Below are 27,551 nucleotides of genomic sequence, written 5' to 3' on the forward strand. Positions count from 1 at the left end.
CTAGGGCGATGCTACATGGAAATTACATCATCATTCCTAAAACCCTATTTATGAATGAAAGTCCACATTTTGGATTATAAAACTTCAAAATTTGCCATCATAGAAAAGCAAAGAATAAACCTTGTTCTACTTCCAGCATTATCCCAGAAAACGATGAGTGACTATCACAAAGAAAGAGAGGTGAGGGTGGACATTACCGTATGTTCTTGAGTCGGGTTAAGTCCATACCTGAAAACTTCTGAGACAGGTGTCTTTATTGTTTCTTGACTCCATTTTCCTATCCATATCTCTTCTACTCTTCTAGAGGTATGTGGTGCTAAAGAATTTTTTAGGTTAAAGACTATGTACATTATATATTTGTATTTGTGTCTTCTAATGTGAATTCAAGGAGAAAATAGCATAAGCAATATTTGTTCCTTCAAAGAAACTCAGGATGTCCTAACCATTTTATAAGAGAATGATTTCCCTCTTGTATTTCTCCATGAATGTCTTTGCATGAGTTAAATATTTGAAAGGTTGACAGACTTAGTTATTTCTAGAAGAAGTTTCTGTTGATCAGTGTGCAGGGGTTAATTCTGGCACTGCCCCTTAGAGATATTTTTCTAGGGCAGAATGAGCCACAAAGAGAAAGATACACAGGACAGTGTCAATACAGCATCACTACGTCATTTAATGGCTGATGGTGGTTATGGCAGCCAATAGTCTGAGGAAAGCAGATTTTCCCTGAATGATGAAAAAAAACCCATCATATTCAATAAAATCACAAACAAATACCATATATTCCTGTTAACCATCCAATGATGAAACTGTATATGTGAATACACTAATGCATTCCTTAAATGCAAATTACTGCTAAATTTCTAAGTAAACTGTCTTCCACTTCAGAGCCATTGTAATCCATCTCTTATGTCAGATGAACTGTGAGACTTATCCTTCTGATCGCATAGGATTTACTGCTTTTTGTCATTCATCTCTCACACTTGGTAATCCTTTTACCTCTTCCTTCCAAGTTTGTAATTTAAATGCACTCTATTCACAACTGAAAAAAGGACCATAGTGTAAATAGGATGTCTTTAAGTTACGGCCAAAGAAGTCATTACTGCTTATACAATGGTGTGGGTTCTATTACACAGAGGACAATATGAGGAGGCTCACTCTTCACTTGCTTTCATCAATGTTTTGTGTCAACACACAGAATAAAGGGTGGGTGCTGAATTTGGGGTCTTCCCTTGCTTTGACTTGTTTCTTATGGTATTGCAACATTTTGTGTTTGAGAGAAAAGTCCTTGACTACCAGCATTGGCCCCCATGAGTTCTTCAGTTTGTCATCAACATGGATTCTGATTTTATTGTTTGAAAGTTCTAAAATAGCAAATTGACAAAATTGGTATTTACTCCTGAAAATCCTACGTGGCCATTTCAAAGAGAAGCACGTTTAGAAGAATTAAAAGGTGCATGTAAAATGCTTCCATAATATATTTTTAAGTGAAAGAGAAAGCAGGATTACAGCAGCACATACAGTATGATCCTAATATAGTTTTTATTATACTTATGTATTTTCCTAATTTTCTACAGTGAGCACACACTACTTTTATAATGAGGAAAATGTTCTTAAAAGTATTGTCTTAAAAGTCACACTAACAGAAATGGTTATAAAAACCTATGCAGGAAGAAAATTACAATCATTATTATGGTCACAATTGTTACCTTATATGTTTTTAAAATATGAATCTCAAATCGTAATTTAGAATGGTAGATATCAAAGAAATGTATGCTGTGGGAGGATGCATATGTAATGACTACACAGATGGAAATATGATAAGTAGACCTGAGGCCCACTTCTAAAATATGGTTAAATACATAATAAGTAAGAAATGCTCATTCAGTTCAGCAAAGCACTGCATATGTTTGAGGATATAGATTTTTTTTATTCCTGAGAATATGAAACTCCTACATTTTAGGTCTATATGGGGTGTTGGCAAATTAATATCCTCCAAGAATTAAACTGTGATGCTAACTTTCCAAGAATTAAAACTATAATGTTAGCTTTTATTAGAGTGAGTTCTTTTCTATTTGCAGCTCTCAAAGAAGAAATACATTTAGGAGGATATACATATGAGAATATTTATATACAAAAACACAGATTAAAAGTTTGTCTTCCCAAATAAGTTAAACATTTAACTTAAACCAATGTTTGCTGAGCACCTACAATTTTTTAGGTATTGATCCCTCTAGCTGGCTCCCTATTCAATGAGCACACCCAAACTGCCTGCACCACGACTGCCTTTTAACGGGGGGGCTATAGTGCATCTTACCAAGACACAAGCTTAGGAGGTCCAGATATAAACTATAGCTGATGTAAAATGACAAATTGGTCATGCACAGTGGCACACACCTATAGTCCCAGAACTTCGGGGGGCCAAGGAAGGCAGATTACTTGAGCCCAGGAGTTGAAAACCAGCCTGGGCAACATGGTGAAACCTGTCTCTACAAAAAATACAAAACTTAGCTGGGTGTGGTGGCATGCACCTGTAGTTCCAGCTACTCGGAAGGCTGAGGTGGAAGGATTGCTTGAGCCCAGGAGGTCAAGGCTGCAGGGAGCCAGGATTGTGTCACTGCACCCCAGCCTGGGCAGCAGAGGAAGACCCTGTCTCAAAATAAATAAATAAATAAAAGATACAAATATATAAATATACAAATAAAATGACAAATCATGGATTTACTATGGAAATGGGTAGTTTTTCTCACAGGATTAATTTTTGTACACAATCTCCTTTCTGCAGTGTTTTATATACAGATAAATTTGAGTTGTCTTTAGATATCTACCTCAGAAAATGCTCAAAAAGGCAACTCCAGGCCAGTGACTCACACCTGTAATTCTAGCACTTCGGGAGGCCGAGGTGGGTGGATCACCTGAGGTCAGGAGTTCGAGACCAGCCTAGCCAACATGGCGAAACCCCATGTCTACTAAAAATACAAAAAAAAAAAAAAAAAAAATTAGCCAGGCATAGTGGTGTGTATCTGTAATCCCAGCTACTCAGGAGGCTGAGGTAAGAGAATCGCTTGAACCCTGGAGGCAGAGGTTGCAGTGAGCAGAGATCACACCACTGCATTCCAGCCTGGACAACAGAGCAGGACTCCATAAAAAAAAAATGCAACTCCAGACCCCTGGAATAAAAGCATATGACAGGTTGAATGTGCTAACACTACAAAGTTTCCAAAATAAAATCTTTATTGATTGATTGACTGAATGCCTTGTAATTATCAAGTGTCGCTCATTTATCTGCTGCTTTCAACTATATGTGAACGTATGGATGAAGAAAGACTTCCTGAACAATCTTCACTAGAAGATCGTTTCAGAACCATATGCTAAAGCAAAGCTTTTTTATTGCTATATAACTGCAGAGGACATTTACAGGAAGCTGGGTCAAGCACTCTTATCATGTTTCTTATGTACTAATTCAACCTATTTCCTAAGGTTTACCCACATTCATTCTATAAAGTTAATACAGAGACAATTAGGAGAAAGACAATCCATTGTATACATATTGCAAGAAACTTTTAGTGTCGCTAGAATGTCGAAGATGCAATTTATCATACTTTCTTTAGAACTTTTGCATCTTTATTCATAAGTGAAAATGGTCTATAATTTTGGTCTACAATTTTCTGGGTTGTACTATTGTCAGGATTTAGTATTAAAGTTGGTCAAGGTTCATAAATTTATTAGGGAGTTTTCTGTACCTTTCTATAAGTTGTAATTGTTGAAATAACATAGAAACTCTGATAAAACAATTAGCTAGTCAGATGTGAAATCACTTGTGCCTGATATCTTTTTAATAATAAATTTTAAAATTTGCTTCCAATTCTATGGATGATTATTGACTACATAATCAATTTTAGTAGTTTTTATTTGACAAGAAATTACTCCTCTCTCTAGATTTTCTGACCAAATAATTATATATAACACCTTTTCACTATTTAATTCTCTCCTGCGTTTGAGGTAACAGTAGAGAATTAAAGGATTCTGTTTTCATTCTTATAGAATACATTTTTGCTTCCTTTTTGCTTGAGATTTCATTGTAATTGTATATATCTATTGATCTTTTCTTTTCAAATGTCACCTTTTGTTTTATTTTTCCTTTTCTTTCGGTTCTTCCTAAGACTGACCTTGCTGATGCAAGGGGGAAGTGACATCCCTTAGAGGCCAGCACATCGTCTCCCAGTCCAGGCGGGTCTTCCACCCAGACTCTGGGCACCCTGAGCTCTCTTGATAATCTTCAGATTTTATTGTGATAACACCTTCTTTTTCCCCCTTTTGTTTCCCACCCTGTCGTTAACCTTCTGCTTAAACTCTCTTTCCATTTCTCTTTCTTTTTAACATTTTTTTTTCTAAGCCAGAAACTTTTCCAACATACAAAGCCATTTAAAAACACACAGGTAGAAAGCAAGAGATAACTATAAAGTAGATTCCATGCTTCCTGGCTTCTGCATGGGGCAGGAACTGAGGAGGGCATCAAAAAAACATGGTTCAACAATATAAGCTGCATTGCTGTTTAAGTGCCTGGAAACAGCAGTGCCCATTGAAGAGTACTGAACGTGGAATCAATACTCAATAAGGAGATTCAGGTTCTAGGGCTTTGTTTTAAATATTTTTTCTGCCAGATTCAAAAATTAACTCTTATCTAAGGAATCAGTCACCAAATTTCCCTTTTACTGTCGACTCAGAAGTTTAGATAACTACATAGAACCAAATGGAAGAAAAATATTCTAAGTTTTATAATCACATTTATTTGCTTCAAAACTTTCAAAAAACTTGTTTGTTTGTCTTTAATAACTCACATTTTGGTGGTTTAGCGCATATCATCTGAGGATTGATGTTGAATGAGTAAATTACTGTGCCAGTTGCAAACAGGAAAGAAAAAAAATAATGGAAGAGGATACAATAATATAATAATATTTAGTGACAACGGGAGAAAATCCCTCATTTTTTTTCACAGACTTTGGGGACAGAAGGTTCTTTCCTTCAGGTATTGGGAATTTTGAACAACAAGCATTCATTAGAAAGCATACTAAGTGTGTGATTTATTGTGACTTCCAGTGACATAACAGAGCTCAAACAGAACAATATTTATTTGAAAAAAAAGCCATATGGCAGTGCATTCTATAATTCTGGCTTATGAACATTGAGAAGTGAATTTTTAGGCCATCTACAATGGGTCTCAGCACTTTAGTATGTCTCCAGAAGTCAGGTAACAGCTCTCCATGCTAGAAAACCATTCAAAGCAATGACATGGAAATTAGCACACGAGTGTCCCGCTTTGCAGCCCAGTCCCTTGATTTCTGTGATTTGACAGGAAGATGATATCAAAGACTGCAGAAAAGTGTTAAGGGACAGCTCAAATGCTGGTGTGTGTGTGTGGTGGAGCAGGTGAGCAGTTAGGATTGTGTGTCATGGGCTGACAGGAGAGGGAGTGTCAGGCTACCACGTGGGTGAACATGGGCCCTATCATAGAAAATATGCTTTTTGTTAGGATTCTCAATATCTAGAAGGAGGGGCAACCTTTCTGGCATGAATGTGCAACTGCTGTGAGGATCCAGTAAAAGGTCTTCTCAGGATTTGTTTAAAAAGGTCAGCTCAGGAACTACTGACCCCTCTGACTTCATCCTGACAGTTTCAGCCCTCTCACAAAATCACTCTTGTCACTTCTAGCCTCCTGTGCTTTTCTGAAAACAAAACCCTCTACCACCTGCCATCCATTATTCCACCAGCAAGCAACATGCGCTCTCTTCAGCTGATATTTCAATTTATTCGTGGTTAGATGTGCAGTAATCCTCTGACTGAAGCTGAGGGAGCAGTTTAAAGATTTAAAACAAAACAAAGCCAGTGCTTCAAACATCTCTTCATGCAAAGCTTACCAGATGCAGAAATGTGGCTAATTCTCATCCACACAAAAGCTAAACGAAGACCCGCAGATGGTCAGTGCCTGCCCTCTGCAGAGGGAGAGGCAGGGTTGGCTCCAAGTAACAAATAATTATCCAGGCCCTTTGTAAATCAAGTTGTACCACTTCTCCTGTGAGCATCCACAAAGACGGCTGCATATATTTGCTATTAGCTCCTTCTTTGTCTGGGGATTTTGTTAATGCCCTTTCTTCATATAAGTTTGTGTCGCCTTGTTCTCACATTTGACACCAACTGAAATAGCCTTGCAGAACCTTTGTTTCTATTTTCTTCAAAATGTGTATTCCTCAATGAGGTTTCATCTTAATCTCTTCTTTTCAAAAGGATATGAATTGAACATGCAGAGAATCAGCCTAACAGGACCGATTATCAATTTCCATTTCCTTTCAGCGCCTTTGCCACCCATGGGCCACCTAGACAGCTTTCCTTGAAGACAAAGGGTGTCTGAAATGGACAACTTTATTTTATATACCAGTCTCTTAGCGGACGACAGAGCCTCATCGCCAGTAATAAATCCTTCTCCTGACCCTTTTATATAATGCACAGCTGAGCTAAAAAGGAAATCAATGTTGCAATTTTAATTTAGCACTTTCATTCTGTTAATTTATCTAAAAAATCCTATGCCACGACTTTACCTTGTCAAAACAGCCAATTTGTGTCAATAGGAAAATGTGAAAATGCTCTGAGTCTCTCCTCTGCACCCCCAACCACGTTTTTAGTAGTATGGCTGTAAAAACCATGGGGCACATACTAAGCCCTCCATGTTTTCCTGTAAGTACAAAGCTTCTTTTGCAAATGGTGTGAGCTCAGCAAGTTGAAGAAATATGGAGGGTCTTTAGCGAGAAAATAATCTGGGACCACAGTGTTAGTTAGCTTTGCTAAAGATGTTTGTGAAACTACTAAAATGGAATGCCAAGTGTCTAAGTATGTATTAATGGTGATGCCTGAGCATATTAGTCAACTAGGGATATTAAATCTTGATTAATCTCTGGGGAGAGTTCTAAGTAATAAATAACACTGTGTTTTCTGTCAGGGGATCATAAAATAACTCTGGTTTTACTCTTTTCTCTCTGTATTTCACAACTCTAGAATAAGCCAGGGATAGAAACTTAATTTACTCTGGGAATGATGCTGCCACAGGAGAATGAGGTCAACTCCACACCACACTGCACTAGTGCCATGGTGGAGATGCAGAGGGGTGGAGCCCCTGAGCAGGTGAGGACCTGCTACCTTTCCAGTAGGAATCTTGTGTCAAGAAATTGTTTCTTCAAGCCTTTATTCAAATATCACATTCTCAGTGGGAACTTTCCTAATCATCCCATTGACATTAAAATTCTTCCCTGCCTCCTGCCACTCATTGGCCTTCACTATATCCCTTCCATGACTTTTTCCCCTCTTGGCACTTCTGACTTTCAATATCACTTTATAATTTACTTATTTTATTATCTATCCCCATTCCAATGATATGTAAGTATACTGCTGTTTACTAAATAATCCTCAGGGTATGGGACTGTTTTTAACATACTGCAGGTGCTCAAAAACATGTTTCCCAAAGAATTATCATGAGGTCACTTCTGGCCAGTTGTTTCTTGGGTGCAGGAATGGCTGCATTATATAGGTTGATGCATGTAACAACTCTGTTGGAAAGAAAACCACCTCTTGCTTTCAGGGTGCTTTTGAACTCTACAAGAGCTGAACTTGGTACGGGAGAAGGAGCCAAACTCCAAATCCAGGGTAAGGAATTAGCCCAAAGGTGGGCTTATAAACAGAGTCAGATCCTGGGACTTATGTGTGGCTGAAATAAAAAATAAACCTAGTTGGTTTGGGCTCGAAAAAAGGCTTCAGCTATTAGTCCAGCATGCTGTAAGCAAAGTAATTCAATGAGGGCCATTATAGCATAGGTACCATGCTTGGCACTGTAAGACAGACAACATCCTGGCCTGGGTCTGCAAGTAGATTATGATCTAGGGAAGTTTACATACATGTTTCAGTCTAGAGCAGGGCATGGAATGTATTATCATGGGAAATCAAGGAGGGTTTGTCCAAGATTCTTGAATCTTGAAGGATGGAAATGTTTTCAGTACCAGAGATGAGATAAATGGCATTCAAGGCAATGAGAATGCTGTTAAGGGAAGCAGAATGCATTTGAGGAGTAGCAATTAGCCTCATGTAGCCTACTTCCTTTGTAGATGTTTGCTGGAGTACGGATGAAAAGAGAGATAATTCTAGAAAGATAGGTGACTATCATATAGAGGCTGGGTTTTACATGTTGTATTATTTTATTGGGTAACCAGGAATAGCTCTTAAAGAGGAGACAGACTTCATTCAGAAGCCTGTGCTGTAGGAAGGATGCTCTATTTTGGTTTTGTGGCAGTGATGGGGCTAGGGATAAATATGCTTAGTCAAGTAAATAAGTATTTAGAAGTACTAGGCTATAAAGCTTAAGAACTATGGAATCTATCCAACTTATAACTGTAAAGCAGTAAATGTAGAATATTCTAGAATAAAGAGTCATACACTTACATTTCAAAGACTTCCCATCAGAGACTTTGCAATTTTGCTCCTTATTCTTTCTAGTATTCTTAATCTGAATGGTTAAGAATTCTTCAAATGAAATCTCTTTAACTTAATTATAACCAATTTCATCTTATTTCCTCATATATGTACGCAGATAATTACCACATGGCATTGCGAAAAGTCAGCCTGTTACATGCCTGATGATACTAAGCAAGTCTACTGTTCTTTAAAAAAATGTTGCTTTAATCTTTCCTTATATCACTTACTCTATCCCTTCAGTTAAAAAAAGAAACTCTTCTCTTTACTCCTTGCTATCTTTATTTTTTTTTCCTGAATATTGACAATAAAACTGTATGTGGACCTGAGAAGAATGTGACTACTGGAGAGACTAGTGGATGATCATTTCTTGACTCTTTTATGCAATTGACTTTTTAGTTCTCAATTGCACTGCTCTGATTAGTCAAATTAAATATAAGGTTGCCTATACTCTCAGATATTTTTCTTCTATACTTGGATCTCGTTAGATCAGACCATCCTCTATTATCTTTAAAGTAAAGGTTAACTACCATGTGGCCAGGGAATAGTAAAACATGATGCTGACACATTTATTTCAGTTTTAAAGGAAAAACCTCAGTTTTCAGCTGATGAAACATAGGCTGAAAATCCTAATGCTAACCATAACATTGTAGGTTCTCATTTGAATTCCAAAAATTGGGTATCTTTACATAGAAGAAACATATTTACTCTATATGTCGGTCAGTACTAAGATATACACACAAACAGTTTACCACACTTCCTGTAGACAAAATTTATTTTTTTCTAATAAACTCTGCTTCTAACATTAAGGTTAAATTTAACTAGTTCATTGAGACTTTGTTCTTTATTGTCCTCTGAAATTGGTATTATGCTATCAAATAAATATAAGAAAAACAGTAAAAATTCATCTGAGTAGGGTTTGAAATATAGTACCTTCAATAGCCCAGAGGACTCACTTACTTTTGAATCTGATAAACAAAGTAAATATATGAAGAAAAATATATATGCTCCTTGGCATCACATTTATACACTAGCTTATTTACAAAATTTTTCTTTATTGGTCCTTTGAATGTAAGAAAATCCACAATCTAGATGCTTAAAAAATGGATGAGAACATTTATTAAGTAAGAAAATATACATGGACACATATATATGAATGCATATCAACATTTACTTTTGGTTTTAATTCTCTCATTTATCTTTCCCAAATTTATTTTATAGTCTATCTAATCTTTAACAGATTTTTTGTTGTTGTTGTTAGCTTCATTACAACATCTGAAATATCCAATTTCCTCTATAGTTGCTGCTGTGTTTCGGCAGACACCTTTATTGAGTTATCAGAGGACTGTGCAGGTTCTGAGCCCTGCAGCATACAGAGTAGCCTGGGTGATTCAGGTCAATGTGCAATAATGAATCTGGGTCCCTGCCAAATATGGTCTGCCATTGTGAAGTTCTATCTCTCTGCATTTTAAATCATGATGGTTTTTTGCATTTCACTTTTCCATGGATTTTGCTTCATTAAACAACTTTGGAAGGAGTATTTTGCACTCTCAATTTTTGCGTGAAAGTCACTGATTAACTGGTGAATTTATGGTTTGAAATGATGCAAGGCCTGATCTGTAGGAACCAGAGGAAAATTTCCTAATGGACTTCTTCCTGATTTTACCAAAGCAAATGCCCTCCACCCCCGCCCTGCTCTAAATAGCACAGATTTCTGGTATTTTAATGTGTCATTAGTTTGACCAGACAGATTTTAGTCCCTAATAAAATAATTCTCCTAACTCTTAGGTTATTTATTTCTTAATACTTTGTTGTGAGATAAGGCAGAAAGACATGCTAACTGAGCTGCAATGCTTCAACATTATGACTTTAGTAACTTTTCTGAGTAATTTTAAAAACATGGAGAGCTACAGTTACCCAAAAAAACAGTTCAAGGAAACAAAAGGACTAGATTTATTCCAAGCACAGGTTCAGTAGGTCAGTGTCCACATAATAATCTGTGCTTTGTATTTTCCATTATTTCTTTTAACATGCTTTAGTGTCTACAAAGGATGAAAGAATATAGACTCCATTGTCCACTTGGAATTTAACCTTCCTATTTGGCCAGCTACTAGGCACAAAATGTTTGGGTTCAGTGGATATAAGTCCACTGAGGAAAGTTAGATGCTACTAAAATTTTCCTGCATCTTTGCACACCCCGGATGATCTATCCCACCCCAAATATTTGTGCATCCACACAGTGAATAGTTTATCTGATCTCCTCATAGTGATTTTCTGGATTACCTTTGCTTTATGAATTTAAGAAAGTCACTTACTTCTTTTTATCTGCTAACCAAGAGGTTCATAAATATTCTCTAAAAACCTGTGGGCTCTAACATGGGAAGTTAGAGAGTACGTACTTTTCCTAGTGGGTATGAAAGAAAAACTCTAGGTTCACCCTGAATAGCATCTGGAGGGACTGAATTAATACAGTAAAACTGCAACTTCAAAACTCTTTTTTTAGAATGTTAATTTAATTTTGAAACCTTTTTAAAAGGCTTAAAGGATTCTTTTTAGATAAACTAACAAGTGGGGAAGAAATAAGCCACTTCTTTTGGGAAGTTATCAGTGGTTTCAGGACCTTGCAGTGGCAACTGGATTTTCAGAAAAGAAGAAATATTTTAAAATAATCCCCCATTTTTGACTAAGATAAGACTGTTTGCTTGTGAATGGAGACTCAACATGTATAACATGTCTCCTATTTATGTGGATGAATCTTGTTTTCAAAAGACTATCTTGATCACATGAGATCGTTTTTCTCAACAAAAAAACAGAAAAAGTATTACACCATAGATGTTCTGATGCATTTTTTCTCACTCATATCCAACATCTCATTTGTTATAGAAAATTAAGTAGATTTGAGTAAAAAGGTATAAAAAAGAAATTCCAGTTTTATGACTTTCTAGTACTTATAATTATTGTAACTATGCTGAATACTTGCAAAGGCCTGGAGAATGAGACTCAGTTTACTCAACAGGCCAGAATAAGCCAGAGAAGCAATTGCTATGGTCTGACTGTGTCCTCCCCCAATTCATATATTGAAACCCCAACCTCCAAAGTGATGGTAGTAGGAGGTAGGGACTTTGGGAAGTGATTAGGTCATGAGGGTGAAGTCCTAAAAACTGAAATTAATGCCTTCATAAAAAAGATCTTAGAAAGACCCCTTCCTCTTTCTACCATGTGAAGTTATAGTGAAAAGATGGCTGTTTAGGAACCAGATAATAGGCCCTCACCAGACACCAAACCTGCTAGCACCTATATTTTGGAATAAATTTCTGTGGTTTATAAGCCTGATTTATAATATTTTGACATAGCAGTCTAAACTACTAAGCAAAAAATTATTTTTATATGAATAGGTACTTTTAAGATAGTTTAAAATGGTTAATTCGGTTTAGTTTAGAAATAATTTATATCATTCCTTTCTTTTGAGATCATTACTGGCTAAGTACAAAAAGTAATTTCAAAAGTAAAACTTTTGAGATTAATAGTACAATGATAAACTTCAGCCATGCTCTTGTCTGACTTGTCAGAAATTCCCAATTTTTAAAAACAAGTGAGATTTGCTGTGCGTGTGAGGCTCTTTCCAGAACTGCTCTTTTGGCCCTCATTCTTATGGATGTGGTATTCAGTGGTGAATCCAACCTCCACACATGAGTATTTGATAAATTTGCTCAAGTAGAACTTCTAGATGTATCTGACACTTGTTCCCATCCTACTTGTTTTTTAATTACCTATAGATTATAAGGCATTTTTATATACATGTTTTATTGAAAGCTCTGGATCTTAACAAAGCAAGCACTTGCTTGGATTTGCCTCCCTGGCCCCTTTCTCCACTTGTTCACACTCAAGCTTGTACCAAATCAAATTCCTTGCAGGCCCCTAATGTTCCATTACATATCATGCCCCTCAGTCTATGCACGTGCATGCTGGGTCTCATATACCCTTCCTCCAACATAATCTAATAGGTGAATCCTTACTATGTCCTAGGTCCCACCTTGATATGGCCTTCTCCAGGAAGCACTCCCTGATGACACTCACTTCTATCACATCTGAGATTAACTCATTCTTAGTATTTACTACACTATACTGAGTACCTGACTTTCCCTCAGGCCTAGGACAGAATCTTGTAATATTAATAGCATGCTGTCTGTCACAGACAACTGTTCAAATACATTCGTTGAGTAAATGAACAGGTGAATGGTAGCTAAAACTTCATTTTCTCTTTAGCGTGTCTTTTGCACATGATTTCCACATTTCAGTTTTTCTTAAAATTCCCTGGGAACAGCATCTTGAAATTTTCTCAAATTTTATATTTTCTTTAGGACTTTTGTACCTTGCTCTGCCTGGGCAGTCCTTTATTCATTCAACAAATATTTTTGAGTTGTGTTTATGTACAAAGTACTTTACAAGGTTTTCTAAGGAACCCAAAGATAAATAGTACTTGGATGTTGCTCACAAAGGGCTTACAGTCTAATTGAAAAGGGAAGACAAGTATAAACGTAGCAAATGGCAAGCTTCATACAAGGGAAGTGACACATTCAATTGGAGGATAAGGCAGGCCTTCTTGGACACGAACAAGGCCTGACAGCATATGCAAAGTCTGGACATTACAGCATAAAGAGAAAAGACATTCCAAGCCGTGAGATGATGTTTGTGACAAAGAGGAAAACAGAACATGGAAACTACAGATCAAAGCCTGACTGGACCTCAGTGTTTATGAAGAAGGGTAGCAATGCTGATGGTATGTTGAAAAGGGAGCCTGGGTTGGTCCAGGTAGGGGAGGGTCTTGGAAGTTACATTTTTGTAGGCAAAGGAGACTAGTAAAAGCTTCTGTGCAGAGTTGTACATCTCTCATTGGCTGACTCTTGCTTCATCTTCCTACGCAGCATTTCTGTACCTAACTCCTTTTTCTATGAAGCTACAGAAACCCCTCGTATCCCATTCCACCTCCTTTTCCTATTATTTTATGACATTCTAAATAATTCTAGAAATTCCAACTTGAAGGTTGCTAGAAAGGTATTCATCAACTCATTTTCCCCCATCCTCATTAAGCTCTATTACTTACATCAGGCTCAAAATCCCAACAATTAGTTTCTGCAGTAGTCCCCTACTGGCATCTTTCCAGTACTAATTTACTTGCTACAGATTATATATTTTTTTAGTTATTTTGAGACCTTTGACATCAACATTTCCATTTCTGGAGCCATTTCCTTGTCTTACAGCTCCTGTATTGTTTCTTTTTTGAAACACCAACTCATGGCTAAACTCCACTGAGCATCTTCTTGGATTATGGGAAGAGTATATTAAACAGAGGCCATTATCTTCCACACACGGTTCCATGTACTGCAATAACAAACCATGTATGTATTGCTAATCTTGCACAGACCAAGTACATAGCAGTCGGCACTCAATAAATTTGTTGAGTGCTTAATAAATGTGTGAATGAATAAGTGTTGGTTCATGCTGGAGTGCAGGTTCCTCAGTATCAAGTATTAGTATTTCTATTCTGTATCCTTGAACACTCTCACTGAAACAGGCACTAAATAATTCTGATTAAATGAATGCATTAATCCCTTCAGAAAAAGGATGCCTGCAGAAAAATCCCAAGGAATTGCAAACAAGATGCAATGCAATAAGTTTTCTCACCCCAAAATATGTAGAGCATCATATATATTATTTAGGCTATTACAGAAACATACATATTCTTGAGTTCTCATTTACTGATGCCTGGCATATATGCTTTCAATAAAGTATAGCCATTGCTGATTTTTTTTTAAGCCTGACTCAAAGGCTTCATGTCTTTGAACTAAACAAGAGTTCCGGGTTTTTATGACTTATACAAACAAACAAGCTGAGTGTGGTTAGAGTTATCCGTGCCTAATATTTTAATTCCATTGTTCAATAATTCCAATTCCTTTGCATTAGTTTTGCTTTAGTATACCCTTATAATACTTTCAAATATATCTATAAAACTTTACAGCCCTTTTCCAATGGCATATGGTGTGTGTTCTGAAGAGAAACATGTTTATGAGCTGAAAGATGGGAAGAAAATGTAAAATGCTCTTACGGGACTCGGGGAGGGATTGCTGCCTGCCTGTGTAGCAGGAACACTGCAGTATATCAAGACTCTTGCAGACTGAACAGAAGCCCTTCTATTTCAACAATGAGCAGAAGTCTGGAATTGTGCTATGCTAACTTTGATGCTATTAGGGTATTTTTGTTTTTTGCTTTTTTCTCTCCTAAAGATTAAAGTAAATATTTCCTGAAACAATATTTGAATACTGTATGTTGTAGGATAGTATCAACTGAGATGGAGGGAAGGAGAGAAAAGTAGAGTGTGGATGGAGGAGTGACAAAAAATACCATTTTTCTGTCCTCTCCCACTGAAGCCCACCCAAACTTTGTCCAAGCCGGAGCTTGCAACATTGTTCCTTACAGAGCTTATCTGTAGTTATTCTTGGAAACATGCAAATACTCATTCTAAAAGGTCCTGCTGTATTCTTTTTTTTTTTTTTTTATGGAGTCTTGCTCTGTCACCCAGGATGGAGTGCAATGGCATGATTTTGGATCACTGCAACCTCCACCTCCCAGTTCAAGAGATTCTCCTGCCTCAGCCTTGCAAGTAGCTGGGACTACAGGCACGTGCCACCACACCCAGCTAATTTTTTGTATTTTTTAGTATAGACAGGGTTTCACCATGTTGGCCAGGCTGGTCTCGAACTCCTAACCTCAGGTGATCCTCCTGCCTTGGCCTCCCAAAGTGCTGGGATTACAGGTGTGAGCCACCACACCCGGTCCTGCTGTATTCTTAAAATGGTCATTTGCTGAGTGCTAGATTCAAATTTTCAGTTGCCTCATATATTCCATCTTGGTCTTCCTTGTCACGATCATTGATATATAGTAACACAGCTGCAGAGACTAGAAAGCTTCGTGTGACCTCTGACTTCTTTGCTGTTGCCCCTAGTTGGTCACCAAGCACAGTCATTTTCCTCTCCCATCTCTCTCACTCACTCTTCCCCTTCATTTCCGTGGCTCTTCCGCAGGTTTCAGGCCCTTGAACTGATCTCACATGGCCTATTCCAATAGTTTCTTAGTCAGTCTCTTTTAATGCTAGGCTTCCTCACTCAAATTACCCTCTAACATGCCACCACAAGATGGTTATTTCTTTTAGAAAGTCTACTGTCATTGCATCCTATTGTAGCATTTTTATTCTGCTTTTTATTATACTTTGCAGTTTTAACTCCTGTTTGCACCCAGTGACTGTAAACTGCATCTTCATGTCATCTTCAACATCTCCGTTACCCATTTCACAGTGTGTTTTAAATAGACTCAGGATTATCTTTACACAGAATGTTGGTTTTGCTCACGAGGATTCTCCTGGTCCATACCCTGACATTTCTAAATGTCCAGCCTTTCCTGTTGATATTCTATTAGAAGGTAAAATAAAAAGGCACTCACTGCCTTTAAATAGCAATACAGGAAAATTTCACTGCTACTCTCATGTTGTCCACCACCGAGTCTTGAGCAAACATAGATGTGAAAATAAAATATTTAAGGAGAATACTTTGAAGGATCCACTTTTCTGAATTCTCTAAATTTTATTTCTAGGTGTTCTAAATTTAAGCTAGATCTTTAGAGATCTGGTTAGCTGGAGAGTCCTTTGCAAAATTCTTTCCATGGTTACGAGTGAGAAAAGAAAGTATAAAATGCTACATTATGGAACCTGTTGTTGCATTTGTATCAGAGATGTGGTTCTAGAACAAAGTATCTTCTTTGTATGGACACATCAGACATTTCTTGAGGGAATCCTACCAGAAGGAGATGCTCTTTACCTCTTCTATTGGTTTATACCTGTAGGTCCTGTGGTCTGCATGTGATCTATATGTGATTGCTCCACTTTTTGCATTAGTTACTAGGCTGCTCAGAGTATTATTTTTAAACTCCCTTTATTAGGGATATCATCCCTACTACTGATAATATTTAGCTTATGACTTACATACACATAGATACTAACTCTATTCCATCTCCATTTTATCTTTTTCACTCTAATTCCTACCATCTGATCTTTTCCTTTCCTTTCCTCTCCTCTATCCTTTTCTTTTTTCCTTCCTTCCTTCCTTTCCTTCCCTCCTTCCCTCTCTCCCTCTCTCTTTCTTTCTTTCTTCCTTTCTTTCTTCTTTCTCCCTTCCTTCCTTCCTTCCTTCCTTCCTTTCCTTCCCTCCTTCCCTCTCTCCCTCTTTCTTTCTTTCTTCCTTTCTTTCTTCTTTCTCCTTCCTTCCTTCCTTCCTTCCTTCCTTCCTTCCTTCCTTCCTTCCTTCTTTCCTCCCTCCCTCCCTCACTCCCTCCCTCCCTCTTTCTCTCTCTCTATCTATCTATCTATCTATCTAACTTCTGCATGCCCAGTTATTACTTAATTACTGAAAATCATTATGACAAGTTTTAAGTATGAACAGTGTTTGGGAATAAATGAATATGCTAGTAAGTTCTATTTCCTGTAAAGGCAGCACTTTACACATAGAAGATGCTCAAGAATTTCCTGATTGGATTCCCAAAATTTCAAAGCACTAAAATATATCAAAAAGAAAAAAAAAAGGAACGCTACAGGTCAGAGGTAACTAGTCATTTGAAATAACCTAAATTGGCTTTTGGTCAAAGTTGAGCACAACAATATGGTACTCATCCTTATTGGCTTTCATCTATTCTTAGTGAGTTATATTCCCTAACTTGAGGTAAAAAGTGAGGTAATGTGTGGTATTTTTCCCTGCTATAATCCTCATACAGAATATCTGAAAGAGAATGGTACTTTTCATGCATGTAATAATACCCAGGCACCACTATATCAGCTAACTTTGCTAGATAGCAGTCACAAAAAGGCCATTAATATCTCTCTTACCTCCACCTGAGAAAGGTTAGTGCTATGGGATGTGCACAAGAAGAAGATCAAAGAGCATGCATTGCTGGTCCCTGCTATATGTCAGAGCAAGACAACTGAAATACACTGAGAAGGTCAAGAGCAGTGGAAGCTGAAGAGATAACTATTTGTGTGTGTGTGTGAATGTTTATAGGATCTGAAGAAACCTGAGCACAAACGTCAGTCTTCATGACCTGATCACATATGACTCAATACAGAGGTGAAATCAAGGTGCTCCTACTGAGGAGTTCAAAGTAGAGACTCCGAAGAATGAAGAGTGCAATACGCCAAGGCATCCAGGTCCTAACAGGAAGAAAATCCATGAACAAAACCAGCAATGAAGAAAAAAAGATCATTCAAAATGGAATAATTTTAGTTTCTAGGGTTACCTTTTTTTGTATTTTTCACATAACAAAAACTTTTTTGTCACTTATTTTCCTTTACTTAAATGATTTTGAAATGAAGACAAATGGTTGCCAGGGTGCCTACAATTTAAAATATGTCTGAAAAGGTTTCTGTGGCAGTCCCAATTACTGAGCTATTAAAAGTAAACACAACTAAAAATTTGAAGAATATGCAGAAAGAAGCCTAGGAAAATGTTGATTTTGAAAAAGCAAAAACAAACCACAAACATATTTTTAAAAACACACATACACAATGTAATTCCTTTATGATCCTCATCAGACTTTCCTACATCTCAGCATTCTTTAGGTCAGTCAGTCAAATCATCGCTAAAGCTTTCACCAACAGGAACATCGTTCCTGGCGTTAATACTTCAGTGTAAGAACTGTTACTAATAATAAAATTTTATATACTAAGAATTTTTTCCTCAAGTGATATACAAATGCCTCTACAGATAAATACAATGTTGTATCTTATCACTAATCTATTCTACCCCACATTCATTAACATAGCTACGGTACAGTGTATTGGGTTAGGAAATGAATCAGATGGAGGAAATCTTCACAGCTCCATATTTCTAATATAAAATAGGAATTGTGCATAAACATTTTGTCTTTATATTTTTCAAATATAACAATAATAACTATAGAACATTTGACAAATGGAGAAATGTAAACAACAACTACTACATAAATTTAGCACTCTAAAAATTCTATCATAAATTCTATCATTCTTATAGGTCCTTCTTCCATCTTTTTCATGTGCAAATCATCAAGATGAAAAATGACTTGCATATGTTTGATCATTTTGCATTTTATCATTAAAACACCTGATCCAATAAATTTACTGTAATTTAATCAATTATTTTCTATATTGCTCCCAAGTTTTTATAATGACTACTATTTCATTAGTAAGCAATGATGAAGAGAACTTCTATATGCACATTAAAATATATTTTGGATTATTTACTTAGAGTTAATTCAAATACTTTAAAGAATTTCTTTTCCAAAGAGCTGAACCTATTTCTAAAGTCATCAATATTTATGACATCAACAGTTTCAAACCAATACTTGATATTTCTTAATATAACATGAATATTATTTTTTTTGCTCCGTTGGTATGTGATGAAAAAGTAAGGCCTTAGTTTTCCTTTCAATTTTTTAAAAAACTAGTTAGCTTGAACATTTTCTAGGTTCTTTTTTAGATGTATTTCTTGTTTTGTAAACTGACTATAGAGTACTAAGATATTTTTTAAAAAAATTTAGCTTAGCCTTTTATAAAATAAAAGCATTAATTCTGCCACACTTATTATATTTTTCCCGAAATCTGTTGCTAGCCTTTTTGGATTTGGGTTATATATTACATACATAAATTTTACAATTTATTAAAGCAGATAAATATATTTTTGGTCTTCTCCTTTTTTAATTGCTTTCTGATAGTGATAACATACAATGGTATCATAGCTTTATTTTATTCTACTTTTTTTATTTGAAAAAATAACTTTTTTCTCTAACTTATGCAGGGGAATCTGCTTGTTAGTGTCTTTTTCCTTTTTGTTGCTTTTAAAAATTGATTACCTATAGAAGCTTGGTAAATATTCAGTTTTATTTTCTTCTACATGTACTTTGGTTTGTTTTTATATCTAACTATCTAATCCTTTGAAATTTGTTTTGGTATATGGTATGAGACACTTTTGATCTTTTTCTTCTGTAATTGCTATACCATATCACAGAGCACACTGCAATTTAAAAAATCCTTTCCCATTGTTGTATGAAAACTTCTATGATACACATTGACCTATTAGGTTACATTTTTTATTTAAAATTATATTGTAGGCCTGGTGCGGTGGTTCACACCTGTAATCTCAGCACTTTGGGAAGCTGAGGTGGGCAGATCACTTGAAGTCAGGAGTTCGAGACCAGCCTGGCCAACATGGTGAAATCCCGTCTCTACTAAAAATACAAAAAATTAGCCAGGTGTTACGGCATGCGCCTGTAGTCCCAGCTACTCAGGAGGCTGAGGTGGGGGAATCGCTGAAACCCGGGAGGTGGAGGTTGCAGTGAGCTGAGATCACGCCACTGTACTCCAGCCTGGGTCACAGAGCCAGACTCTGTTTCAAAAAAAAAAAAAAAAATATATATATATATATATATATATATATATATATATATATATATATATATATATTCTAATTATATTAGGTAGAGACTGTTAAGGTGTAAGTGTGAGCAGCAATAATAAGCTGATAATAATGTCTTTATCTTTTAGGTAAAGACTTATGGCCAAGCTAGGGTTTTATATAGCTGGCTCTAGGCTGACCATAAGTTTTCAAAAAATGGGAAGAACATCACTTTCAACATTTAAATTGAGTTATTAATGTATTTCCATAGCGAAAATAACCCTATTAAACCTGAGTATAAATATTTGCTTTCCTCTGAAAAATGATCAGATTAAAATAAGCCAGAATTTGGTATTCTCACATCGTATGTATGAGCATGAGTTCTGAAACAGATTGCCTGAGTCTAGCTCTCTGGTCTGCTACCGACAGGCTGGATAGTTTGGCAAATTATATACCACCTTTGTATGCTACTTTCCTCATACGTGACAGGATGGTAATAATAGTCATGATTTCTTGCAGTTGTGATAAGAATTAAATGAATTGAATTAACATTTATGCCATTTTACCAAGTTTGGGGAGGAAGAGGAGGAAACGTGTCAACAAAGGCTTCCTTAAAGAGGGTGACCATTTGGTTAAATCTTAAAATATCAGTAGATTTTCACTATTTGAATGTTCTATTTTGACACGACTTTCTGAAGTTGGTGGTGGCCCAGTTAGCAGAGAATTTTTACTACATACTTTTAAAGGTTCAGCGCAGCTCTGCAGGGCCACGTGAGATGTTGCTTCTTATTAGTAGCCCTCGGCATAATGATGAAGTAAGTTAACGTTGCCTTTGACACTTAACCTCCTCTCAGTGAAACCAAGGTATGGATTTGAAAGTACCTCAGTGTTGGGAGTTTAAATAGAAAAAGATCTGATAAAATAATTTACGCAAAGGTGAACAGTACCTAGTGGGTTACTCTTTCCAGGTGGGGTCTTATATATATATATTTTTTTTATTTAAAAAGTGTTTTGGAGATAATTGATATTTTAAAAAATCAGCCTAAAAGACAGCTTAATCCACCATTTTTCTGAGTTTCCCTAAGCATTAAGTTTGGTCACCAAGAAGCAACGTTCTTAGATTTTATTAGCTTAGGTTCACTCGAGCATACTTCTTTTGAGTTGATTTAGCTAATCCTTAGCTTTCACTAAAAATTGATATGGTATAGGTATTTGAAAGACACTTTTGTATTTTTCACAAAACCCCGGCTATAGGCATTGTACAGTAAATTATTAAGTGTTCATTAAATATGGATCCATGTAACAAAATTTTCCCAATATTTACTGCCAGGAGCAAAGTGTTGTCTCTTAAGACAAACCTAGACATCCCCTTTTATCAGACCATGAGAGCTATAAAACTCATGAATTTCTTTAGTTTCTTGGCTACCAATAAGTTTACAGCAAAACATGATGTCCTGTTTTAATAATATAGCTTATCTTTTGTTTCCCATACAAGCACTTCTTGCTTTCTAAATAATTTCTGCTGTGTCTTAAATTTTAAAAATTTTATTACCTTTAATGTTTTAAATTGGTAAACTACTTTAAAAGACATGTAGGAACATGAGTGGAATAGTTGTTGCCTGTGTTCCTCATTTGACCCTTACTAAATATTAATTTTTAAAAAATAGTGTCTTTTTTCTTTCCAAGTAGATTTCAAGGTTTTATGGTAGAACAGGATTTCTTGTTTTCTATCCTCTATACTCACCCCACATGGGTACTCAATAGCTAAATTGATTGATTGATAGCTGTCTTTTAAAAGCAGATGTCTAGACAGGATTTTTAATGATGGACCTTGTTAAAAAATGATGGACTAATAGTGGAAATACTAGGCTGAGAGAGTGTTTCTGTTATTTTTCAAAATTCCTCTACAATGGACTATGGCCATTTTCTGCATGCAAGGAAGAACACAGCCAGGATCACCGTTCTTTAAATCAGAAAGGACTTTGATAGAGTCCAGTTCCCTCAGTTCAAATGAGGAAACCAAGGCCCGAGGAGTTACTATCATTCCCAGAAGTAGCGAGCTGAGTCAATATAACGTTAAGACTGAAATTTAGGCCTCCCTGTTGCCAGTCTGATGTTGTTTGATGCCAATCCATTTATTCACTTTCTGCTTCCACACAAGAATGACTTGCATAATTTTAAAGGTTGGAAATCCAGCATGATCCTAAATCAGAGTCTCCATTCATAAAACTCTAAGCTTTAAAAATGCTAGGAATCATTACACAAATAAAATCCTGAGCACTCATTGTGCTATGCTTTGTGCTAAACATGTTTCTTTTTTCCATATAGTCTTCGCAATCACCCTATGAGGTCAGTACTGTTATTATTCCTGTTTTAAAGACGAGAAAATGAGAGGCATGTCTCATGTTTAGCACTGGGATTCAGTGGCACTCTCCTACACTGTGTGGACTGCCTCGCGAATCCAGTCATGTATACACATGTGTGTGTTTTTCCTTTTGGACACGTAATGAGATTTTTTTTCCCATGCCAGACTGGGGTATCTTAGTATCTCTCTCATGGAATTCTCAATTCCTACCCACCTAGGTTTTTCCCTGGAAACTTCCTGCCATCAAAGCAGGAATGATATTTAGTGCTTCAGTATTAGAAGGTCACAAATTGTGCTGGAATCCAAGGGAGAATCACGTATTTGGATGAATCACGAACGAATAGTCTGAACTTCCCCAAAAACACTGTCAGTAAAAATAAGGTGCTGCCATTAAATGACACCTTTAAAGAAGGCAAGAACGCAAATTTATGACAAGAAGAAAGAACTTCTGAGCCAAAATCAGCTAGATCTTTTTTGTTTTTTTCAATGCCATCCTTGACACTGGTAAAGAGTAGTCAGCTAGGTATTTGTCGACTAGAAAGAATCGTTAAAATGGACAACTAAAACCATCATATTTACAAGTGACACAAATCAGAAATTGTTGGCTAACAAATCTCCTTATTCCATCACTGTGATATTTGCTAAAGCTGACCACCTATTAATTTTTCCAGTGGAGCCTAAGGATATAGCAAATGCCAAGTAAATAGTTCAATCTGAACCAGGTTTATTGTTCATCGGCTGGTGCTGTGGTACTGTGCCGTGCTTGTGTCTTTTGTTGCTGTGGAACAGCAGGCCTTCCGGGAATGCTAAGAATACAGTGTCTTCCCAGAGCTGATTACACCAGACACGGGCCTCAATGATGCATGGACCAGCTAACACAGTGCCACACAACCCCACAATGCTTTCAGCATATTCAGTCATCTGCCTCGGAGAGACTGAAAATATTACTATTGATTTGGCTTGGTGTTTAATGTGGTTGTTAAATTTTAAATCCCTGTACAATGACCAATACTTTGGGTAGTAATGTAATTCTTCCAGGTTTATCATCTCTCTTGAAACCTGACTATTTAGTACATTGTGTAGCATTAAATTTCAGACAGGGGAATAGGTTTTAATAACACAAACACTTAATAAAATAACTTTCCATGAGCTTTCTCATAATGGTATTAACAGGGAAAGACAATTTCTCTCATTGCGCTTCTCTGCAGACATTCTGTCGGCTCTGTATCTCCATCAGTTTTTTCATAATGTGCTCTTGGCACACTTACTTTAATATTGCTGGTTTGAGAGCACTGTCTTTTTTATCCTTGTCACTAAATGTGATATTTTGAGCACTCAAGATGCGCTGCAAGCAGGCCTAAAGTATTTATATTGAAACTACAATGGCAAAGCATGTAGGATGATCTACCTCTCTGAAATGAGCCTTTAGGAAACAACTTCATCTTGGGAACATCTCTGGCTACACAATTGTAAAAATGGGCTGATAATTAAAGTACCAGGGAACACTCCTTCCATATTCACTGTTTATAAGCAGAGTGGTCTTGGTGGGTGCACACCTTAACATAAAGGAAGTAATACTTACATCTTGCTTTTGTCACACCGAGGCTGATATCTCCACTAAGTACACATCCCTAATCCAAGACGTTAGCAAACATATCTCTTATCAGCAGTACGGCTTTCACAGGCTTTTTTCAGTGTCCACCAACCACTTTCCATTCTGGATAAAGGATGTTAGCTAGGTAAGAGGATAAGCACAGTTGTAATCTGGATATTCAAGCTGACCTAATGGTAGATGCTGGATGCACACTGAACCTGGCCTGGCGGAAACCTGTTTCTATATGAGAATGGCATGTGGAAACAGGGACAGATGGTGGGGTCAGTAATAAAGAACTTGTTTGTTGTTGCTGATTGGAGGCCATTTCTTCTGCCAGCATGACTCCACAGATTTATCCTGGCATTGGTGACCAAGGGGAGACAAACAATGTTGTTCAACAAGCATTCTGAAAGCTACCATATGGCCAGAAGGAAATCTCTGGAGAATACTAGGATGTGCTGTGTTGTGCTACACTGTGGTAGTATTGCTCTTAAGCAGTAGGGGGCATGGTGAGTTCATCCGGTTAGAAGTATAAATAGAAGTAACTGAAAACAGCAGGAAATATAATCCGGTGAGCTTGCGAGCTGGTGAGCAGTTGTGTTGTGGGCTGCTTTTAAGATTATTTGCTTAATAAACTGCATTAGTTTCATTCTTTTGCATTTTTCTCGCAAAAAATGTTCATAAAGGTTGGGTTCTAGGGTGACAAAGTGTTGGGAAATTTTGTTGATTTAAAAAACATAAATATGAACTAATAAGAGAGAAGAATTCATGTTAGTCTAGAAGCTTAGTTAATTGGGAGTCTCTAGAGGAGTCACTCAAGATAGTGTTTGCTAATTAAGGCAATGCATTTTCCAGGGATTTGGAGAAGGAAGAGCTCTCCTCTGGCTTTCTGTCTGCTTATGAGTTACTGTGCAGCACCAGTGACGAGCTTTCACTGATTCCAGTCACATGACTGACTTGGGTAGATGTATTCCACCCTCATAACAAAGGCTTGTGGGTAGTAAATATTACCTATCAAATAAAACACCAAGGTAATTCCAGTTAACTCTTTTCAGGAATTCTAAAATTTTGTCATTGAGTTTGGTCCTTTCGAAAAAGAAGTCTGCCAGAATTGGATATTTCTTTTTTAAGTTTTTGGATTAGTAAATCTTATCCAAAATGTAAATTAATTTCCTATAATAGCTCCAAATTAAGAATTCTACAATTCTGTTGATCCTATTCTGATCGATGCCAGATTCGGTTCATCGGTGATGAACAAGTCAGTCATGGTGCCTCAGATTCCTTCCATCTCATTTCTGATGCTGTAGCTGGATTTCTCTAATTATAATTGGATCACGCCAGTGGGATTTTTAGAAAACTGCAAAGTGTTTTTTGTTCTTCTGAGAAACAAGTTATAAAAATAAAAAAAAATTTATGTATTCTGAAAATGGCTTCACAAGATGAATCTTTTAAAGAAAAATCAAAACATTATGAAAAACCTAATAACACTCATAAGTTTAGATATGCAAAAGAAAATGAAACAGTATTAAACCCCAAGACTGGGTTCTATTCATGGATTTAAAAAATCTTGGACCTGTCTTTACAAAACTTGAGTTTAACCAACTGAAGTATCATTACATCCTTGGTTTTAAACGTCATTACCACACTACCAGATATTTCTAGACTGAAAAGATTTTTTATGTTTACGAACAACAGATTAAAGGCAAAGGCAGCATTATTGTAATAGGATGTCATAAGATGTTTCTCAGTCTTAGATGAGGCCCCAACTATGAAAGGAATGTTGGCAAATCTCCTTCTTTCTAAAGGTGGATCAGGCAGGACTTGGTGAGATGTGATTCAAATTTACTCTGTAGGTCTGGGATCTTTCCCTGTCACCCATAGCTCTAAGGAGAGGCAGAGAAGACACTGGAGAAAAGATTATGTATTGATAGCCCAGAAAAAGTGCTGTAATTTTCTCTGCTCTCTCCTGTAGAATGTTCTGTTTCCGCTACCTCAAGCCAAGTGACAGAAGACACTCTAAATACAATCAAGAGTGGGGTACTTGCCCAAAGAGGCAACTGACATTTTTTTTTTTTTTTACTCTGGGCTACCTATTTGCTACTTGGAAAAAATCTGCCTTTATGGGACACTTGCTGACTGTAGTGATACCAGTCTTAGCAACCTGAACATGGACATGCCCCTGGGTGCTTGGGTGGGTAGCTGTGGAGGGTTAAAGTAAGGAGGCTGGTGTCTGACTACTGCTGAGAAAGGCCTGTATGTCAGAGGTTGGTTGTGAGGGTTCCCTGATAGTAGGGCCAGTAGAGGTGTTTGCTTATGATGACAGAGACAGGAGTTTTTTTTGGGGACACTCTGGAAAGCTGCTGCAATATAACTACATTGAAAGCCCTGCCAAGGAGAGGTAATCCCAGTAGAAAGAGACTTCAGGGGTGAAATGCCGAAGCATAGGAAATCATAATGGGCAGAGCAGAAGGTATCACCAGGGAGACAGAATGGGAGGCTCTGAAGATCCCACAGAGGTATCCTTTAAGAAAAAGAGTTGGCACCTGCCCTGATTGCATCAATATCACAACCATGCCATAAGAGCACTACACAATCATCTTTTAGCCTCATATGCTTCATCCTTTCCCAGCACAATGGAGGAATCACAGGTGACATGGAGAAGTGGAGAAGAAGGATGGGAGAGGGAGGCAGAAGATAATCACAGACGACCTAAGCATCCGGCCTTTTCTCTACTGATGCTATAGGGCCTAGTGCAGGTTAAAGCAGAGATTGTTTAAATAAGAGGAGAGCCACAAGTTTCCTGGCTGGACTCTTTATTATCTGAGGGTGTTCTAATGTCTGGAAGTGATCAGAAAAACTCTGGGATTTTATCCATAGCCAAGAAGAGGAGCTTAGTGGGTTTTAAGAGAATAAAGATGTTTCTGGCTTGTTTTGAAAGTGCAGCTCATTTGGTACACTATAATACTGTTTTTTCCCAATAATCAAGTAATTAATTTTTGTGTGATGACATGAAGCCAAATGTAAGTGTGAGCTGAGTGGATCATACGTCTAATAGATCTGTAAACATGAGGAGGTAGGGAAAGTTCACTTCTGAGTACATATCACATCTGCAAACCTTGTCATAGTGATCCAAAATGGAATGGGAAGTACTGAAGATGTATAGTGATCTCGCTTCATGTAGGATTGTGCTTGCATTTTCTAACACAGTCCCTGGCATATAATGGAAGCTTAATAAGTGTATGCCAGACCGAACTGGGAAGCTGGGAAGACCAAGCGAGGCACGAGGTGCATAGAAGGTGACTAACAGGTTCTTGAATTAGAAGGGAACTAAGTTAGAGCATGAGCATGGCCACTATTCCTCTACTCTACCTTACTTACCTCCCTGACTTTGTCTCTTATTACTCCCCCTATCTACTCTACTCCAGACACCCTACTCTTGGCTGATCCTTAAGGCTTTTTTACTCGCTATTCCTTCTGCCTGGAAATCTCTTCTCACAGACATCCACGAGGCTTATTTCTCATTTCCTTCACATTTTGCTCATATGAGACTTTCTCTAAAAGGTCCATACTCACTGCTGTCTAACCTTTAAAATGCAACCTGTCTCCTGAC

General features: G+C 37.0%; 1 protein-coding gene and 1 long non-coding RNA gene across 6 annotated transcripts in view, besides 2 other annotated features; one reads left to right on the top strand and one right to left on the bottom strand.

The window, feature by feature from the left end:
• The window catches only part of DPYD (dihydropyrimidine dehydrogenase), an 843,317-nt gene that overhangs the window by 36,276 nt on the left and 779,490 nt on the right, over positions 1-27,551 (bottom strand). The gene's annotated exons all lie outside the window — the stretch shown is intronic.
• DPYD-AS1 (DPYD antisense RNA 1) overlaps positions 1-27,551 on the top strand; it is a 227,033-nt gene that overhangs the window by 18,096 nt on the left and 181,386 nt on the right. The window lies entirely within an intron of this gene.
• Positions 556-1,425: an enhancer, noted in NCBI's record as "NANOG hESC enhancer chr1:97580130-97580999 (GRCh37/hg19 assembly coordinates)". NCBI's record gives its function as "activates a minimal SCP1, AML or CMV promoter by ChIP-STARR-seq in naive H9 embryonic stem cells {active_cell/tissue: H9 hESC(naive)}" and the evidence as "EXISTENCE:reporter gene assay evidence [ECO:0000049][PMID:30033119]".
• Positions 24,252-24,381: an enhancer, noted in NCBI's record as "active region_1355". NCBI's record gives its function as "activates an Ori minimal core promoter by ATAC-STARR-seq in GM12878 lymphoblastoid cells {active_cell/tissue: GM12878}" and the evidence as "EXISTENCE:reporter gene assay evidence [ECO:0000049][PMID:35858748]".

This window comes from Homo sapiens, chromosome 1, assembly GCF_000001405.40.
Source record: "Homo sapiens chromosome 1, GRCh38.p14 Primary Assembly".
Taxonomy (NCBI): domain Eukaryota; kingdom Metazoa; phylum Chordata; class Mammalia; order Primates; family Hominidae; genus Homo; species Homo sapiens.